Here is a 20,854-nt window from a genome sequence, read left to right on the forward strand (position 1 = left end):
CCCACTTCCAGTCTCTCTCAGCAGCTTCCACAGCCTATACCACTCCCAATTGCCGTGTCCCACTGGGTCATCTTTCCTCTGTGTTGGACACTTGAGAAAGAGTAGACCAGGTATGCACTTACCACTGAGATTGTGGTGTCACAGGCTAGGCCCAATTCCAACCTCATAGCTGTTGTCAGATTACTTTCCAGAGGTTTGTTTCTTTACATCCTCACTAATCCTTCGTAGCTTCAGATGTTTTAATTATTGCCAATTGAGTAGATATTAAATATCTTACTGTTTTAATTAGCATTTCCTTGGCTAGTGAGTTTGAGGATTTTCTACCCATACTTTGGCCACTTGAGCTTCTTCTAAAAATTGTATTCTTATATTGTTTGTCCACTTATTGTCTGGATTATCCTTTTTATAGCTTTTTAGAAGTTCTTTACATATTCTGGATTCTATTTGTATCCTGTTCTTTATCCTTTTAAATGTGCTGTTTTGATGAACAGATGTTCAGTTTTAATGTAGTCAGATTTATCAATATTTTCCTTACAGTTTATGGTGATTGAGTCTGATTTAAGAAATCTTGTGTTACTACAAGGTAATTGTTTTAGTCCATTTTCATGCTGCTGATAAAGACATACCCGAGACTGGGCAATTTACAAAAGAAAGAGGTTTAATGGACTTACAGTTCCACGTGGCTGGGGAGGCCTCACAATGATGGCGGAAGTTGAAAGGTACATCTCACATGGCAGCAGACAAGAGAAGAGAGAGAGCTTGTGCAGGGAAACTCCCCTTTTAAAACTATCTGATCTCTTGAGACTTACTCACTGTCACAAGAACAGCATGGGAAAGACCTGCCCCCATGATTCAATTACCTGCTTACTGGGTCCCTCCCATAACACATGGGAATTCAAGATGAGATTTGGTTGGGGACACAGCCAAACCATATCAGTCATAATATATCCTCCTCTTTAAAAAATATTTAAATATTTGCTTTTTATAGTCTACTTAGAACTTATTTTTGTGTGGGGTATGAGATAGAGATCCAATTTTAAATTTTTTCCAAATTCATAACCAATTGTACCAGTATTGTTTATTGAATACAGTCCTTTCCCCAGTGATCTGCAGTGGTACCTCTGAAACACATCAGATTTCACAAATGCATGGATCAGTTTCTGGTTGCTTCATGTACCTAATGATAATTTAATTTCTTTCTCCCTAGTTCTTAAATCTTTTATTGATCTTTTTTTGTCTTTTTTCCTTTGCTTGGACCACTAGAGAAAGTTGTATGGAGATTGTGGTAAGATTATCCTTATATTGTTTTTCATTTAAAAGAAATGCTGTGAAAGACTGAATTATGAACTTTGTTATTTTTTTTTTGGTAGATTCCTTTATTAGGTTAAGGATGATCACTTTACTAGTAGTTTAATAAAAGCTTTTTAAAAAAATCATGAATAGATTTTGAATTTTCTCAAATGGTTTTCTATACAGTGTACTTATTTAGATAATTTTAAGCTTTTTTTAAAAATCGTGATTGAGATGAGATATTTTATTCTTTTAATTTAAGCCATCATTGATTTCCTGGGAGAAACTGTGATGTACTACATTAAAAAATATTACCAGGCCAGGTGTGGTGGCTCACACTTGTAATCCCAACACTGAGAGGCTGAGGCTGGAGGATCATTTGAGCGCAGGAGTTCAAAACCAGACTGGGAAATATAGTGAGACCCCATTTTTACAAAAAAAAAAACCAAAGAAAAAAAATTAGCCGGGCATGGTGGCATGCATCTGTAGTCCTAGCTACTTGGGGGACTGAGGTTGAAGGATCACTTAAGGCTGGGAGGTTGAAGCTGCAATGAACTGTGATCATGCCTCTGCACTCCAGCCTAAATTATTGGACCCAATATGCAAATATTTGGGATTTTGGCATATATATTCATAAGAGGTGTTGACCAGTGATAATCTTTTCTTGTATCACCCTTATTCAGATTTGGTATCAACATGATACTTCATCATCTTTGTAATAATTTCTTTCTTTTTTTTAGAGACAGGGACTCTCTCTGTCACCCAGGCTAGAGTGTAGTGGTGCTATCATATCCTACTGCAGCCTTGAAGTCCTGGACTCGAGTGATCTTCTTGCCTTAACTTCTTGATTAGCTGGGATTATAGGCGCAAACCACCATGCTCAGATAATTTTTAAATTTTCTTTTTGTAGAATAAGGGTCTTGCTATGTTGCCCAGGCTGGTCTTCAACTCCTGGGCTCAAGAAATTCTCCCATCTTGGCCTCCCAAATGTCATAGTTTTGGAAAGGGAGGAATTTTTATTTCCTGGAAATTTGGCAAAATCGATTCTTAAATGGTCTGGATCTGGACCTTTTTAAATATGGAGACACTTGCAGTAGCAATTAATCACTTTGGAAGGGTCGCTAGTCCATTCTGCTCACATTTCATTGGCCAGAAGGAGTCATTCTGGCCATACCTAATTTCAGATGGGGCGGGGTGGTAGAATCTTCCTCATCCTGGAAGCAGGGGGCACTCAGTCCAATAGCACAAGGAAACAAATTTTGTCAATAATCTTGAGTGAGCGTGGGAACAGATTCTTCCCGTCAAGGCTTCAGGTGAGAACACAGCCTGGCAAACACTTTGAATGCAGCTTTGTGAGACCCTAAGCAGAGGACCCAGTTAAGCCTGCTTAAATTCGTGACTCACAGAAACTGTGAGATATTAAATACATATTGGTTTAAGGTGTTAAATTTGTGATAGCTTGTTATGTGGCAATAGAAAACTGATGTACTGATCTCTACTGACCTCCCCTTAGAAGTGGATTTGGGTTGATGAAGGGTGTTCGACTCTATTTAAGGTAACCAGCTTATTATTTATTTTCTTTTATACAACGTTTTTTCTATTTATAAAAGTAATACAAATGTTTTGTGTAGAAAAATTGGAAGAAACAGAAAATTATAAAGTAGAAGATCAACATTATCCTTAATCTTAGCACAAAAGGATATTCAGTGTTTTTTCCTACTTGTATTTATGTATGATATGCATATCCTAAAGTTGGGATTCATTCCAAAGTATGTTTTTTGAACCAATATTTTTCCTTTTACTAGATCATGAGCATTTCCTTGTCTCATAATGTGTTCTTCTAAAATATGATTTCAAATGGCTGCATACTATTCCAAAGAGTGTCCCAGTTTATTGAACCATTTCCCTATAGCTAGACATTTATGTTGCTTTAAAATACTCATCATGATAAATAATGCTTTGAAAAATATCCTATACAAAAATCATTGTGCGTATCACTGATTGCTTCTAAATTTCTAAAGGTAGAACTATTAGCTCAAAGGTTGTAAATGTTTTTAAGTCCTTTTCTACCTAACCATCTATTTTCCAACATTTCTAAAAAATAATGTAAGACTTAGACATCTGTTTCTGTAACTCACCAGGTTGGGATAGGACAGAACTATTGATTTTTGAGCATCTAGGTTCCTGTTTTCTTAACCCTGTTTGCAGAGTGGTTTTAAATTATTCATTAAAGTGCAATATGGATTCTATTTATAGACGCATTTGTGTATGAGATCGCTCCTTTAATGTTTGGGGAAAAGCCTACAAATTGCTATTATCACATTCCTATCTTTGTAAATCCTTTTCTACTCCTATTCACCCTTTCTTTGTTCTCAGTCAACCCAGTAGAGACACTGAGACAAATAAAGCCTTGTATCCTTATATTATTCAGACAGAATGGCTGTTCTGAGCCAGCCCTTGTTCTTTTCTTCTTGCCATTTATTAATTAGTTGATCTCAAAAAGATGAGAGATCAGAATATTAATGATTAATTCAAAAATATTTTTCCTGGTCCCTAAAGTAATGGATGTTTGTGTAGAAAATTTCTAAAGGAAAGATTAGCATAAAAAGCAGAATAAAATCTTGATAATTCTACTACCCACAGATGACTACTATTTAAACATAACTTGATCATGCCAGCTTATTCTTAAAATATGTGACTGGATTCTGATGGCTTTTTTTTTTTTTTTTGAGACGGAGTCTTGCTCTGTTGCCCAGGTTGGAGTGCAGTGGCATGATCTTGGCTCACTGCAACCTCCTCTTTCCGGGTTCAAGCAGTTCTTCATGCCTCAGGCTCCAGAGTAGCTGGGATTACAGGCACGTTCCACCACGCCTGGCTAATTTTTGTATTTTTTAGTAGAGACGGGGTTTCACCATGTTGGCCAGGCTGGTCTCAAACTCCTGACCTCAGGTGATCTGCCCGCCTCGGCCTCCCACAGTGCTGGGATTATAGGTGTGAGCCACCACGCCCGCCCTGATGACTAATATTTTGTTTGGAGTTTTTGCATTTGTGCCTGTGAGTGAAATTGGCTTGTAATTTTCCTTTCTTATAGCTGTTCTCTTTTCTAATCTGAGATGAATGCTTAATTTATTAATTTGCAGCTTTTCCTTTTTTTCTAATATGTGTGTTTAAAGTGATATATTTTCTTGTAAACAATGCCTCAACTACATCATACAAAGTTTGATCTAAGGCATTTTCATTATTGTTTGTTATGCTTTCTAATTTCCATTATGGTTTTTTCTTGGATTCCTAGGTAATTTAGAAGAACGTTTAAACATTTCTAAACATATGCATATTTTCTTGTTTTATTATTCTTCAGCAAAATTATATTGCCCAAAGATCCTGCTTTCTATGATTTTAATCCTTTGAAATATGCTGATTTGCCTTGTAGCCCAGAATATGGTATGTAAGTTTTCTCAGATATTCCTATGTGCCTGGAAATAATTGGGTTCAATGTACTATACTAAATATTCTGTTTAGCTGAGTTGGTAAGCATGTTACATCTGCTTTCTTACTAGTTTTTTTTGGTTGTTATATTCATTACTGAGATAATTACACAATTTCATGATGATTATGGATTTGTCTTATTTTTTCTAGCAGTTCTGCCAGTTTTTATGTATAAATTTTTGAGACTGTGTTGTCAGGGCCACACAGATTTAAAACTATTAGGTCTTCCTGATGAATGGAGACTTTAATTATTATGACTGGTTCTCTTTATATCTAGTAATTAATATTTGACTTTATGATATGGTATGTCTGATGTTAATATTAACATAGCCATGCTAGATGTTTTAGGCTCATATTTACATACTATCTTTGTTTTTTATCTTATTCTCAACCTTACTATAGTTTTATGCTTTAGGTATGTCTCTTGCAAAGAGTATAGTTAGATATTTTTTTCATTCAATCTGACAGTCTTTGTCTTTTAATTGGAACAGTTCATTTACATTAAATGTAATTACTGATCTATTTGGGTTTAAATTTACGATTCTATTATGTATTTGTCTTGTCCTACATTTTCTGTGTTTATTTTTCTCTCTTTTCTTGCATTATTTTAATCTGATAATGTGATTTTTTGAAAAAATCATTCCATTTTTCCACCTTCTCCAGTAGTTTGGAGATTGTCCTATTTTTTGTTCTTTTAGTGGTTATTGTGTAAATTGTTACTAACTTATCCAGATAATGTAGTTATACCTTTATCTTTCTCCTAGACAGATCATAGTTTCTTAGAAGACTTGAACTCTATGACCCCCCTCCAGATTCATATGTGCTTATTATTATGCACTTTAATTCTATATATTCTTTTTAAATTCAGTGAAATAAATTAATATTAACGGTATTATATTAACAATATTGGTATTAATAGTATTATTACTGGTAACATTAACAGTATTGTATTAACAGTAATATTAACAGTTAGTGTTCATTTAGATTTATTCAGATACTTGTCTTTTCTTTGCTCTTCATTGCTCCCTGGCATTTCTAACTTATTCTGGGATGATTTCATTTCTGCCCAAAGGGCCCTCTTTAGAAATTCCTTTATTGCAGGTCAGCTGATGTAGACATTGCATTTTTTTTTTTTTTTTTTTTTGAGATGGAGTCTTGCTCTGTTGCCAGGCTGGAGTGCAGTGACGTGATCTCAGCTCACTGCAGCCTCCACCTCCCAGGTTCAAGTGATTCTCCTGCCTCAGCCTTCCCAGTAGCTGGGACTACAGGTGCACGCCACCACGCCCAGCTAATTTTTGTATTTTTAGTAGAGACAGGATTTCACGATGTTGGCTAGGATGGTCTCAATCTCTTGACCTCGTGATCTGCCCACCTTGGCCTCCCAAAGTGCTGGGATTATAGGCGTGAGCCACCGCGCCTGGCCAACATTACATATTTTTTAATCTAAAAATATTTTTATTTCATCTTTTAACAAATTCTTTCAATTTACTTAAACGTTTTGTGGGATATAATTCACACACTATAAAATTCACCCTTTTAAAGTTTACAATTGAGTGTTTTTTGGTGTATTTTCAAGGTCATGCAACTGTCATTACTACATAATTCCAGAACATTTTCTTCACTTTAAAAAGAAACCTCATACACAGTAACTACCTGTTTCTTCCTCCCCAAAGGCCCTGGCAACTGTGAATTTAGTTTTCATCTCTAAGAATTTGCCCATTATGGAAATTTCATATGAGTGGAATTATATAGTATGTGGCCTTTTGTGTCTGGCTTCTTTCACTTTGCATAACATTTTCAAGCTTTATCCATGTTGTAGTATGTATCAGTATTTCATTCCTTTTTGTGGCTAATATTCAGTTGTATCGATATATGGCATTTTGTTTATCCATTCATCAGTAGATAGACATTTCGGTTGTTTTTTGGCTGTTATGAACAACATGCTATGAACAGTAGTACGAGTTTTCATATGAATATATGTTTTCACTTGTCTTGGTTTACACTAGAAGTAGAATTGCTGAGTCATACAGTAACTCTGTTTAACTTTTTGAATAACTGCCAAATTGTTTCCCGAAGATGCTGCAACATCTTCGGGAAACAATTTGGCAATGTAAAATTCCAAACAATTTGGAATGTAAAATGCTGCACCATTTTATATTCCCATCAGTAATTTATGAGGGTTCCAATTTCTGCACATTCTATTCTCTCAAACACTTGTTATTTTCCAGTTTTTTGATTATAGCCATGTAGTGGGTGGGAAGTAGTAGATATTGTGGTATAAATTAGCATTTCTGTAGTGACTGATGGTATTCAGCCCTTTTTATGTACTGCTTATTGGCCCTTTTTGTTTTTTCTTTGGAGAAATGGCTATTTAAATCCTTTGCCCAAGACTTCATGACTAAAACACCAAAAGCAATGGCAACAGAAGCCAAAATTAACAAATGGGATCTAATTAAACTAAAGAGCTTCTGCACAGCAAAAGAAACTATCATCAGAGTGAACAGGCAACCTACAGAATGGGAGAACGTCTTTACAATCTATCCATCTGACAACGGTCTAATATCCAGAGCCTACAAAGTACTTAAACAAATTTTCAAGAAAAAAAAACCCATCAAAAAGTGGGCAAGGCATATGAACAGAAGAAGACATTTATGCAGCCAACAGACACATGAAAAAATGCTCATCATAACTGGTCATTAGAGAAATGCAAATGAAAACCACAATGAGATACCGTCTCACACCAGTTTGAATGGCAATCCTTAAAAAGTCAGGAAACAACAGATGCTGGAGAGGATGTGGAGAAATAGGAAAGCTTTTACACTTTTGGTGGGAGTATAAATTAGTTCAACCATTGTGGAAGACAGTGTGGCGATTTCTCAAGGATCTAGAACCAGAAATACCATTTGACCCAGCAATCCCATTACTGGGTATATACCCAAAGGATTATAAATCATTCTACTGTAAATACACATGCATGCATATGTTTATTGCAGCATTGTTCACGATAGCAAAGACTTGGAACCCACCCAAATGCCCATCAGTGATAGACTGGATAAAGAAAATGTGGCACATATACACCATGGAATACTATGCAGCCATAAAAAAGGATGAGTTCATATCCTTTGCAGGGACATGGATGAAGCTGGAAACCATCATTCTCAGCAAACTAACACAAGAACAGAAAACCAAACACCGCATGTTCTCACTCATAAGTGGGAGTTGAACAATGAGAACACATGGACACAGGGAGGGGAACATCATACACCAGGGCCTGTCGGTGGTGGGGGCCTAGGGGAGGGATAGCATTAGGAGAACTACCTAATGTAGATGACGGGTTGATGGGTGCAGCAAACCACCGTGGCATGTGTATACCTGTGTAACAAACCTGCACGTTCTGCACATGTATTCCAGAACTTAAAGTATAATAAATTAAAAAAAATAGCTGAAAACAAAAACAAAAATAAATAAATCCTTTGCCCATTTAAAAACTGGATTGTCTTTTTATCGCTGAGTTGTAAGTGTTCTTTATGTATTCTGTATGTTAGTCCCTTATCAGGTATATGATTTGCAAATATTTTCCCTCCAACTGTGAGTAGTCTTTTCATTTTCTTTTCTTTCTTTCTTGAGACAGAGTTTTGCTCTGTCGCCTAGGCTAGAGTGCAGTGGCGCAACCTCGGCTCACTGCAAGCTCTGCCTCCCAGGTTCATGCCATTCTCCTGCCTCAGCCTCCCGAGTAGCTGGGACTACAGGTGCCCGCCACTGCGCCTGGCTAATTTTTTGTATTTTTAGTAGAGACAGGGTTTCACCGTGTTAGCCAGGATGGTCTCGCTCTCCTGACCTCGTGATCCACCTGCCTCGGCCTCCCAAAGTGCTGGGATTACAGGTGTGAACTACCGTGCCCAGCCTCATTTTCTTGATAGTATCCTTTGATGCACAAATGATTTTTATTTTGGTAATACTGCATTTATCTATTTTTTTCTTTTGTTGCTTGTGCTTTGTCATATTTAAGACATTGCTTAATCCTAGGTCACAAAGATTTACACCTCCGTTTTATTCTAAGGGTTTTATAGTTTTAGCTCTGAAATTTAGGTCTTTGGTGCGTTTTGAGTTAATTTTTGTCTATGGTATGAAGGAGGAGTTTAACTTCATTCTTCTGCCTGTGGCTGTCTAGTCCTAGTACCATTTGTTCAAAAGACTACCTATTGAATGGCCTTAGCACTTCTGTCAAAACTCAGTTGACCATAAAATATGGGTTTATTTCTGAACTCTCAACTCTATTCCATGGACCTATATGTCTCTCTCTATGCCAGCAGCACACAGTCTTGATTATTGTAGCTTTGTAGTAAGTTTTAAGATTGGAAAGTGTGAGTCCTTCAACTTTGGTCTTTTTATTTATTTTGGTTATTCCTGGTCCCTTGCATTTTCATATGATTTTTAGGTTTGGTTTGTCACTTTCTGGAAAAAAAAAAAGGCAGGTAGAATTTTGATGGGGATTAATTGAATCTGTAGATAATTCGGGGAGTATTGTCAGGTTAACAATATTAAGTTTTCCAATCCATGAGCATAGGATTTAGTAGCTATAATAGTTTTTTAGTGGATTCCTGAGGATTTTTTATATGCAAGATTATATTATCTGCAGATATAGATACTTTTAATTCTTTGCTTCTAATCTGCATGCCTTTTTAAAATTTTTCTCATGTAATTGCCCTGGTTATAAGCTTTAACACAATGTTTAATTGTTGTGGCAAGGGTGGACATCATTGTTTGTTCCTTATCTTAGGGGGAAAGCTTTTAGCCTCTCACCAGTAAGTATAGGTAGCTGTGAATTTTTATAGATGCCCTTAATTAGGTTGAGGAATTTCCCTTCTATCCCTATTTTGTTGAGTGTTATTATCATGAAAGCGTGTTGAATGTTGTCAGATGCTTTTCCTGCATCTATACTGTTATTTTTGTCCTTTATTATATTAATGTCATGTATTACATTGATTCAGTTTTGTATGTTGAGCCAACTTTGAATTCCCTAGATAAATCCCACTTGTCATGGCATATAATCCTTTTTATATATTGGTGGATTCGGTTTTGCAAGTGTTTTGTTGAGGATTTTTTGAGATGGAGTCTCACTTTGTCACCCAGGCTGGAGTGCAGAGGTGCGATCTCAGCTCACTGCAGCCTCTGCCTCCTGGAGTCAAGCGACTCTCCTGCCTCAGCCTCCTGAGTAGCTGGGATGACAGGTGCGTGCCACCATGCATGGCTAATTTTTGAATTTTTAGTTGAGACAGGGTCTTACCATGTTGGCCAGGCTGGTCTTGAACTCCTGACCTCAAGTGCTCTGCCTGCCCTGGCATCCCAAAATGCTGGGATTACAGACATGAGCCGCCACACCCAGCCTTGTTAAGGATTTTTAAGTTTGTATTCTTAAGACATGTTAATCTATAGTTTTCTTGTGATCTCTTTGTCTGGTTTTGGTATTAGGGTAATACTGGCCTTATAGAATGAGTTGGCAAGTGTCCGTTTCTCCTTGTGAAGGATTGGTGTTCATTCTTTAAATGTTTGATAGAATTTAATAGTGAAGCCATCTGTTTCTAATTTTTCCTTGTGGGAAATTTTTAAAATACTGAATATCTTTACTTGTTTTAGGTTTTTTTCAGATGTACTGTTTTTTAAGTTTTGATAGTTTCTGTCTTTCTAGGAATTTGTGAATTTCACCTAGGTTATCTAATTTATTGGCCATCAGTTGTTCATAATATTTCTTTATAGTCCTTTTATTTCTGTAAGGTTGGTAGTTTTCTTTCTGATTTTAGTAAATTGAGTCTTCCCTCTTTTTTTCTTGGTCATTCTAGATAAAAGTTTGTCAGTTTCATTGGTCTTTTTTTAAAAAAAAAACTTTGGTTTCATTGTTGTTTTTCTATTTTCTGTTTCATTTTTGCTCGAATATTTGTTTTTTTCTTTCTTCCACTTGCAAAGGTTTAGTTGGCTCTTTTTCTGATTTCTTAAGGTAGAACGTTAGGTTATTGATTTGAGATATTTCTCTTTTAACATAGGTGTTTACAGCTATAATTTTGTAAGAACTGCTTTTACTGCCTTTCATAAGTTTTGATATGTTGTGCTTTCTTTTACTTTCCTTTTTTTTTTTTTTTTTTTTTTTGAGACAGGGCCTTGGTCTGACACCCAGGCTAAAGTGCATTGGTGCCATCACAACTCACTGCAGCCTCAACTTTGAGTCTCCTGAGCTCAAACGATCTTCCCACCTCATCCTCCTGAGTAGGTGGGACTATAGGTGCATTCCCCTACACCTGGCTAATTTTTTAATTTTTTGTGAGACACAGTGTCTTGTCATGTTGCTCAGACTGGTCTCGAACTCCTGGGCTCAAGCAGTCCTCCCGCTATGGCCTCCCAAAGTGCTGGGATTACAGGCGTTAGCCACTGTGCCTGGCCTCATTTTTAATGATCTCAAAGTATTTTCTAATTTCCCTTGTGGTTTCTCCCTTGACTCTGGTTATTTAGCAGTGTATTGTTAAATTTCCACAAACTTTTGAATTTCTTAAATTTTTATCTGTTACTGATTTCTATTTTTTTCCCTTGTGGTTGGGGAACATATTTTATATTACTTCAATCCTTTAAAATTTTGGGACTTATTTTCTTGGCTAACACCTGGTCTGTTCTAGAGAATGTTCCATGTGTATTTGAGAATAATGTGTTTTCTGCTTTTTGAATGGAGAATTCTATAAATGTCTGCTAGGTCTAATTAGTTTATTAGTATTGTTTAAATCTTTTGTTTTCTTTCTGATTTTCTGTCTTGCATTCCATCCTGTATTGAAAACGGACTTTTGAAGTTTCCAACTGTTACTGTTGAACTGTCTGATTCTCCCTTTTTTCTCTTAATTTTTTGTTTCATGCATTCTGGGGCTTTATTTTATATGTATACACACACACATATATATATGTATATATATGTATATAATTGTTAGAGCTTCTTGATGAATTGACCTTTTTATAGTTATAAAATATTCTTTGTCTGTAATAACAATTTTTGTATTAAAGACCGTTTTTTTCTGATGTTAATATAGCCATTCAAGCTCTCCTTTGGTTACTGTTTGCATTGTATATATTTTTCCATGCTTTTAACTTATTTGTTCGTTGTATTTAAGTGTCTTTCTTGTATACTACATATAACTGAATCATTAAAAAATCCATTTAGACAATTTCTGTGCTTATATTGGAATGTTTAATCCATTTACATTTAATGCAATTTTGACAAGGTGAAATTTATGCCAGCCATTTTGCTTCTTGTTTTCTCTATGCAATGTCTTTTTGAATTTTCTATTACTCCATTACTGACTTTGTGTTAAATAGATATTTTCATTTATTTTACTATTTTTTATTTTCTTAGGGGTTACTTGGGGTCTTACTACTGGCAATTTGTAACAGTTTAGTTTGGATTAGTACCAGTCTAATTTCACTAGTATACAGAAACTTTGCTTCTGTATATCTCCATTCCCTCCTTCTTCCTTTGTGCTGTTATTGTCATACAAAGTACATCTTGCTGGGCATGGTGGCTCACACCTGTAAGCCCAACACTTTGGGAGGCCGACGCGGACAGATCACTTGAGGTCAGGAGTTCGAGACCAGCCTGGCCAACATGGTGAAACCCCGTCTTTACTAAAAAATAACAAAAATTAGCCGGGAGTGGTGGTGCATGCCTGTAATTGCAGCTACTAGGGAGGCTGAGACAGGAGAATTGCTTGAACCCAGGAGGCAGAGGTTGCAGTGAGCTGAGATTGCACCATTGCACTACAGCCTAGGAGACAAAGGAAAACTCCATCTCAAAAAAAATATATATATATATCTTGTACATTCTGTTCACTTCAACACAGATTTGTAATTACTGGCTTTTACAGTTATCTGTACTTGTTACAGTTTTGTTTTTAATAATTTTTATTTTTCAATTTAAAAATAGATTTAGAGGGAACAAGTACAGTTTTATTACATGCATATATTGCATGCTGGTGAAGTCTAGGCTTTTAGTATAAGCATCACCTGAATAGTGTACATTTTAACCATTAGGTAATTTCTCATTCCCCACCCCCTCTCACCCTCCCACCTTTCCAAATATCTGGTGTCTATTATTACATTCTGTGTGTCCATGTGTATATATTACTTAGCTCCCATATTCTCTCGTAAGTGAGAATATATGGTATTTGACTTTCTGAATTATTTCACTTAAGATAATGGCCTCCATTTCTATCCATGTTGCTGCAAAGGACATGATTTCATTTTTTTATGTGGCTTAGTAGTATTTTTTGGTATATGTATACTACATTTTCTTTATCCAGTCAGCTGTTGATGGATACTTAGGTTGGTTCCATATCTTTCTATCATGAATAGTGCTGTAATAACATACGAGTACAAGCATCTTTTTGATACAGTGATTTCTTTTCCTTTGGGTAGATAGCCAGTAGTGGGATTGCCAGATCAAATGGTAGTTCTATTTCTATTTTTAGTTCTTTGAGAAATCTCCACACTGTTTTCCATAGAGATTGTACTAATTTACATTTGTGTTCCTTTTCTCTGCATACTTGCCAACATCTGTCATTTTTTGACTTTTTAATAATAGCCATTCTGAGTGTTGTAAGATGATATCTCATTGTTGTTTTAATTTGCATTTCTCTGGTGATTAGTGATGTTGAGCACTTTTTCAAATGTTTTTTGGCCATTTGTATATCTTTTGAAAAATGCCTGTTCATGTTTGCTTACTTTTAATGGGGTTATTTTTTTTTCTTGTCGAGTTGTTTGAGTTTCTTGTAGATCCTGGATATTAGTCTTTTGTTGGATGTATAGTTTGCAGATATTTCTCCCATTCTGCAGGTTGTCTCTTCACTCTGTTGATGATTATTTTTGCTGTGTAGACACTTTTAAGTTATTATTAAGTCCCATTTGTCTATTTTTGTTATTGTTGATCTCGGTTCACTGCAGCCTCTGCCTCCCAGGCTCAAGTGATCCTCCTGTCTCAGCCTCTCAAGTAGTTGGGACTACAGGTATGTGCCAATATACCTAAGTTTTTTTTTTTTTTTTTTTTTTTTTTTTTTGTAGAGATGGGGTTTCACCATATTGCTTAGGCTGGTCCTGAGCTCCTGGGCTCAAGCAATCTGCCTGCCTTCAGCCTTCCAGAGTGTTGGGATTACAGGTGTGAGCCACTGTGCCTGGCCTGCATTTGCTTTTGAGGTCTTAGTCATGAATTATTTGCCTAGGCCAATGTCCAGAAGAGTTTTTCTGTGGGCGGCAAGCCACCCAGGTGCTGAGGCAAGAGACTGAGGGCACGAGCTGTTCCAGTATAATAAAATATATAAAATAACAAGAGTTATACTAGATATAGATCATAGATATGATTATATGTAAGTATCACTAATCATTAGTTTGTAGTAATTACTCTTTATTCAAATAATATAATAATCCCCGCTCTACAATCATAACCTAGAAAAAACCGGGCCATACAGAAATAGGAGCTGAAGGGACATGATGAGAAGTGACCAGAAGACAAGAGTGTGAGCCCTCTGTCACACCTGGACAGGGCCATTAGAGGGCTCCTTGGTCTAGCGGTAATGCCAGTGTCTGTTGCCAAGTGGACTGTGGTTTAGTGGTAGCGTCAGTGCCAAGGAAAAGCACCCGCTACTTAGCAGACTGGGAAAGGGAGTCTCCCTTTCCCTGGGGGAGTTTAGAAAAGACTCTACTACACCACCTCTTGTGGAGGGCCTGACATCAGTCAGGCCTGCCCACAGTTATCTGGAGGCTTAACCGTCTCCCTGTGATACTGTGCTTCAGCTGTCACACTCCTGGTCCGCTTTCATGTTCCATCCTGTACACCTGGCTCTGCCTTCTGACAACAGTAGCAAAATTAGTGAAAGTACTAAAAGTCTCTGATATGCAGAAATAATGGCGTAAGCTGTCTCCTCTCTCTCTCTCTCTCTCTCCACCTTGGCTGCCAAACAGGGAAGGGCCCCCTGTCCAGTGAACACGTGACCCACGTGACCTTACCTATCATTGCAGATGGCTCACACTCCTTACCCTGCCCCCTTGTCTTGTATCCAATAAATAACAGCGCAGCCTGGCATTCGGGGCCACTACTGGTGTCCGCGTCTTGGTGGTAGTGGTCGCCCGGGCCCAGCTGTTTTTTCTTTTATCTCTTTGTCTTGTGTCTTTATTTCTGCCATCTCTCATCTCTGTGCATAGGGAGGAAAACCCACCGACCCTGTGGGGCTGGTCCCTACATCTTTCCTAGGTTTTCTGGAATTTTTATAGTTTTAGGTCTTACATTTAAGTTTTTAATCCATCTTGAGTTAATTTTTGTATATGGTGAGAGATAAGGGTCTAGTTTTCTTCTGCGTATGGCTATCCAGTTTTCCTAGCATCATTTATTGAATAGAGTGTTTTTCCCCAGTGTTTTGTTAACTTTTCAAAGATCAGTTTTCTGTTGGTGTGTGGCTTTATTTCTGATTTTCTATTCTGTCCCCATTGATCTATGTGTCTCTTTTAATACCAGTACCATTCTGTTTTGGTTACTGTAGCCTTGTAGTATAATTTGAAGTCAGGTAATGTGATGCCTCTAGCCTTGTTCTTTTTGATTTGGTTATTTGGGCTCTTTTTGGTTCCATATGAATTGTATGATTGTTTTCCCTAACTCTATGAAAAATGACATTAGTGTTCTGATAGGAATTGCATTGAATCTGTGGATTGCTTTGGGCAGTATGTTCATTTTATTATACTGATTTTTCCAATTCATGAGCATAGGATGTTTTTCTTTTTTTTTCTTTTTTTTTTTTTAACTGTTTCCAACTTTTATTAAAAATACAAACTCACATGTATAATAAACTCAGTAAAACCCAAGGAGAGTAAATACACACACGCATAAATCACACCTAGAAATAGCATAGTGAAACTGTTTGAACTAAAAATAAAGATAAAATCCTAAAAGAAGTCAGAAAGAAATCACATATATACAGAATAATAATAATATAAGAATAATAATAATATAAATCACAAACAACTTCTCACCAAAAATAATAGAAGCTAGAAGGCAATTGTACAATATTTTTAATGTGATGAAAGAAAATAAACTATCAACCTAGAACTCCATATTTAACAAAAATATCCTTCAAAACTGAAGGTGAAATAAAGGCATTTTCAGTTCAATTGAAAGCAAAGAGAATTAATTGCCAGCAAATGTGCACTATGAGAAGTGAAAAAAAAAGTTATCCAAGACAAAGTAAAATAATACCATACAGAAATTCAAATATACAGGATAGAATATTTCAAGGGGACTAAAATTATAATAACATTAGCTAAATATATTTTCTTAATTTCTTTCAGAGACAAAGAGCTTTTATTTTTTTTAATTTTTTTTTTCTTTTCTTTTTTTATTATACTTTAAGTTTTAGGGTACATGTGCACATTGTGCAGGTTAGTTACATATGTATACATGTGCCATGCTGGTGCGCTGCACCCACTAACTCGTCATCTAGCATTAGGTATATCTCCCAATGCTATCCCTCCCCCCTCCCCCCCACCCCACCACAGTCCCCAGAGTGTGATATTCCCTTTCCTGTGTCCATGTGATCTCATTGTTCAATTCCCACCTATGAGTGAGAATATGCGGTGTTTGGTTTTTTGTTCTTGCGATAGTTTACTGAGAATGATGATTTCCAATTTCATCCGTGATGTTTTTCATATGGTTGTGTCATCTACAGTTTCTTTCATCAGCATTTTGCAGTTGTCCTTGTAGAAATCTTTCACCTTCATGGTTAAATGTATTCCTAGGTATTTTATTATTTTTTTGTAGCTATCACAAATGAAATTGAGTTCTTTATTTGGTTTTCAGCTTGATTGTTATTGGTGTTTAGAAATACTACTGCTGGGGTACAGTGGTTCATGCCTATAATTCCAGCATTTTGGGAGGCCAAGGCAGGAGGATCACTTGAGGCCAGGAGTTCAAGACTGCCCTGGGTAACATGATGAGACCCCATATCTACAAAAAAATAAAAATAAAAAATTAGACAGGCATGGTGGTACATGCCTGTAGTCCTAGCTCCTTGGGGGGCTGAGGTGGGAGAATCACTTGAGCTCAGGAGTTTGAGGCTACAGTGAGCCTTGATCACACCATTGCACCCCGGCCTATGTCACAGAGTGAGATCCCACCTTTAAAAAAAAAGAAGTGCTACTGATTTTTGTTAGTTAATTTTGTATCCCGAAACTCTACTGAATTCATTTATCAAATCCAGGAATCATTTATAAGAGTCTTTAGGGCTTTCTAGGTACAAGATCATATCCAAACATACGACCTTCCAAGGTTGAACCAGGAAGAAATTAGTAGAAATCCTGAACAGACCAATAACAAGTAGCGAGATTGAATCAGTAACAAAAATTCTCCCAATAAAACAAAGCCCAGGACCAAATGGAATCACAGCTGAATTCTACCAGATGTGTAAAGAAGAACCGGTACTAATCCTACTGAAACTATTCCAAAAAATTGAGGAGGAGGGCCTTCTCCCTAACTCATTCTGTGAAGCTAGTATTACCCCAAAACCAAAGCCAGGCAAGGATACAATGAAAAAGAAAACTCTAGAGACCAATATCATTGATGAAAATACATGCAGAAATCCCCAACAAAATACTAGCAATCGAAATCCAACAACGTATCAAAAAGATAATACACCACAATTAAGTGGGTTTTGTTCCAGGGATGCAAGGATGGTTCAACATATGTAAATCATTAAATGTGATTTACCACATAAACAGAATTAAAAACAAAAGCCATATGATTATCTCAATAGATGCAGAAAAAGCATTTAATAAAATTCATCTTTTCATGAAAAAATCCTCAATAAACTAGGCATAGAAGGAACATACCTCAAAATAATTCAAACCATTTATGAAAGACCCACAGCCAACATCATTCTGAATGAGGAAACGCCTAAAGCATTCCCTCTAAGAATTGGAACAAAACAAGGATGTCCATTTTCACCACCCTTATTCATCATAATACTGGAAGTCCTAGCCAGAGCAGTCAGGTAAGAGAAAGAAATAAAAGGCATCCATTTTGGAAAAGAGGAAATAATACTATTTCTGTTCATCGATGGTATGTAGTTATCTTTTAAATCAAGTAGGAGGAAAGGGTTACAAACAAGTTACATTTATACTGTCTTTTATATTTACCATTATAGTTATATCTTTACTGGTGCTGTTTATTCATTCACCTGGATTTTCTGTACTATCTAGTGTCCTTTAATTTAAGCCTGAAGGACTCCTTTTACTGTTTCTTGTTAGGTAGGTTTTCTAGTGACATATTCTCTCAGCTTTTATTTGAGAGTGTCTTAATTTCTCCTTTGTTTTTGCAGAATAATTTTTCTGGATATAGAATTCTTGTTTGACAGTCTTTTTCTTTCATGATTTTGCATATGTTATCCTACAGCCTTCTAGTTTCTGTGGTTTCTGGTGAGAAATCCGCTATTGTTCTTATTGAGAATTTTTTTTTTTTTTTTAGATGGGGTCTTGCTCTGTCTCCAGACTGGTGTGTAATAGCGCGATCTCAGCTCACTGCAACCTATGCCTTCCGGGTTCAAGTGATTTGAGAATCCCTTTTTAATGAGTTACTCTCTTGCTGCTTTCACAACTCTTTGTCTTTTGATAGTTTGATTATAATATATTTAGGTGTGGATGTCTTTGAGTTTATCCTTGAAGCTTATTGAGGTTATTGAATGTATAATTTTTTCCATCAGATCTGGGAGGTTTTCAATTATAATCCTTTCATATATTCTTTGTACCCCTTTATTTTCTCTCCTTCTGAGAGTTTCATTATGCATCTGTTTGTTCTTTCTTTCTTTCTTTCTTTCTTTCTTTCTTTTTCTTTCTTTCCCCCTTCCCTTCCCTTCCCTTTTTCTTTCTTTCTCTCATTCATTCATTTATTCATTCATTCCATTTTTGTAGAGATGAGTTCTCACTATGTTGCCCAGGCTGGTCTTGAACTCCCAACCTTAAGCCATCCTTCCACCTCAGCCTCCCAAAATGTTGGGATTACAGGTGTGAGCCACCATGGTTGGCCATCTGTTGGTATTCTTGGTGGTTTCCCACAGGGCTCTGAGTTTCAGCTCATTTTTTTTTTAACTTCTTTACTTTCTGTTCCTTAGATTGGTTAATCTCAGTTGATCTATCATCAAGCTTACTGATTCTCCTGCCTGTTCAAATATGATGTTGAACCACTCTAATGAATGTGCTATTTCAATTATCATATTTTTTAACTCCAGAATTTTTATTTGGTTTATTTTTATAATTTGTTTCTTTATTGATATCTGCTTGGTGAAACAACACTGCCATTCTTTAATCCTTTAGACATGGCTTCCTTTAGTTATTCAAATATGTTTAAAATAGGTTATGTAAAGTCCAACACTGGGGCTTCCTTGGGAACAGTTTCTATTGATTGCTTTTTCTTTCCCTGTGTATGGGCCATATTTTCCTGTTTCTTTGTATGTGTCATAGTACTTTTTTGAAAACTTTATGTTTTAAATAATATAATGTGGCAACTCTGGAAATCTGATTCTCCTTTCTTCCATTTTTTTTGTTGTTGTTGTTGCTGCTGCTTGTTATAGTAGTTTCTGTTCATTTGTTTATGTAGTGACTTTCCTGAACTAACTCTGTAAAGTCTGTATTCTTTGTCATGTATCTTCACTGACTCTGTACTTGAATAGTTTAGTGGTCAGCTAATAATTGGACAGACGTTTCCTTAAATGCCTGGAATCAGTGAGTCTCATAGACTTTCCCAAGAGACCCCATGTGTGTAACCTACCAGTTTATAAGTGCCTTAGCCTTCATTTTCTGATTGTGCAGAGTCTCAATGTCAGCTCAGTGTGAGAGCTTAGGGCTATCTCAGGGCACTCCAGTTTCTTTTCTGGGCATTCGCACAACCTTGAGTAGGTGCATAGCTCTATGTATGCACCATGGCCTTCTAGATTTCCAGAAATATACAGTTTTTAATACCCTGTGGGCATCTCATTCCCCAGATTTTCCTTTTAAGCTTTTGAGTTAATATATTATTTGTTCCAACTGTTGTCCACTGTCTCAGGTAGTCACAAAATTAAACAATTGTCTTTGTTTTGAAAGATACCTCTAAGGAAAATACTTTTCAGTGAGCTCCGTGTCAGGTCAAATAAATGTAACCTGGCAAGTGGAACCTGTTAGCCATAACAAATAATAAGACTTTGAAGGAGCTCTAACTCTGTTTTGTCCTCTTCTGTTGCTGCCAGGCTGTTGGTTTTCACTCTGATTGTAGGTGGTTGGTTTTCAAGACTACTATAGAGCTGGGGTAGGGTTGGGGGTGGGGGGATGGGAATAGGGCAGGTTAAAATATTACAAAATTTATGTTCTTAGGATATTTAACCATTTTTCTTTAAGAAATGTTCTCCAGATTGTGGCAAGCCTTTGGTTAAATTTCTAGATTTCTAAAAAAAAAGTTGATTTGGCCAATTTTTGGCATTTAAAAATTGCTTTTGGGAAAGAAGGGATTTTTGGAAGTTCTTACTTTACTATTTTCACTGATATCACACTCTCATGTTATTCTTAAAAGATTTTGTTTCCGTATATTGAATTTAATGTTGGCATTATTTTTTTTCAGCACATTGGAGATATATTTCCACAGCATCTGGCTTTTCTTGTTCCTGTTCTGAAGTAAATGTAACTGCTATCCTCTGGAGGTAATCTATTGCCATAAAGGATTTTCCAATTATCCTTAGGTTTCTGTGGTTTCACTAAGTTCCATGCATCCCTGCCTGAGGTATGTTGGCTTCTTGTATCTATGACATGATGTCTTTCATAAGTCTGGAAAATTCACTGCCATTTTCTTCAGCTATTGCTTCTGCATCATCTCTTTTCTTTCTTTCTGGGACTCTGATTAAATTTGTGTTAGATTTCTCACCATATATTCTCATGCTCTCTCTTATATTTCTGGATTTTGGCCACTCCACTTTACTTTGAATATTTTATTTTATTTTGACCTAGTTTCCAGTTCACCAATTCTTTCTTCAGCAGCACTCAA

General features: G+C 36.4%; 1 protein-coding gene across 17 annotated transcripts in view; it reads left to right on the forward strand.

Moving 5' to 3' along the window:
- PCBP3 (poly(rC) binding protein 3) overlaps positions 1 to 20,854 on the forward strand; it is a 298,726-nt gene that overhangs the window by 4,715 nt on the left and 273,157 nt on the right. For 11 of the 17 annotated variants that reach the window (NR_145492.2, NR_189734.1, NM_001348242.2 and 8 more), the window contains 1 exon segment: positions 20,435 to 20,513. The exons of 4 other annotated variants lie outside the window; for them this stretch is intronic. The gene's annotated coding sequence lies outside the window, so the exon portion shown is untranslated. 17 annotated transcript variants of the gene reach the window in all.

This window comes from Homo sapiens, chromosome 21 (assembly GCF_000001405.40).
Source record: "Homo sapiens chromosome 21, GRCh38.p14 Primary Assembly".
NCBI classification, from domain to species: Eukaryota; Metazoa; Chordata; class Mammalia; order Primates; family Hominidae; genus Homo; species Homo sapiens.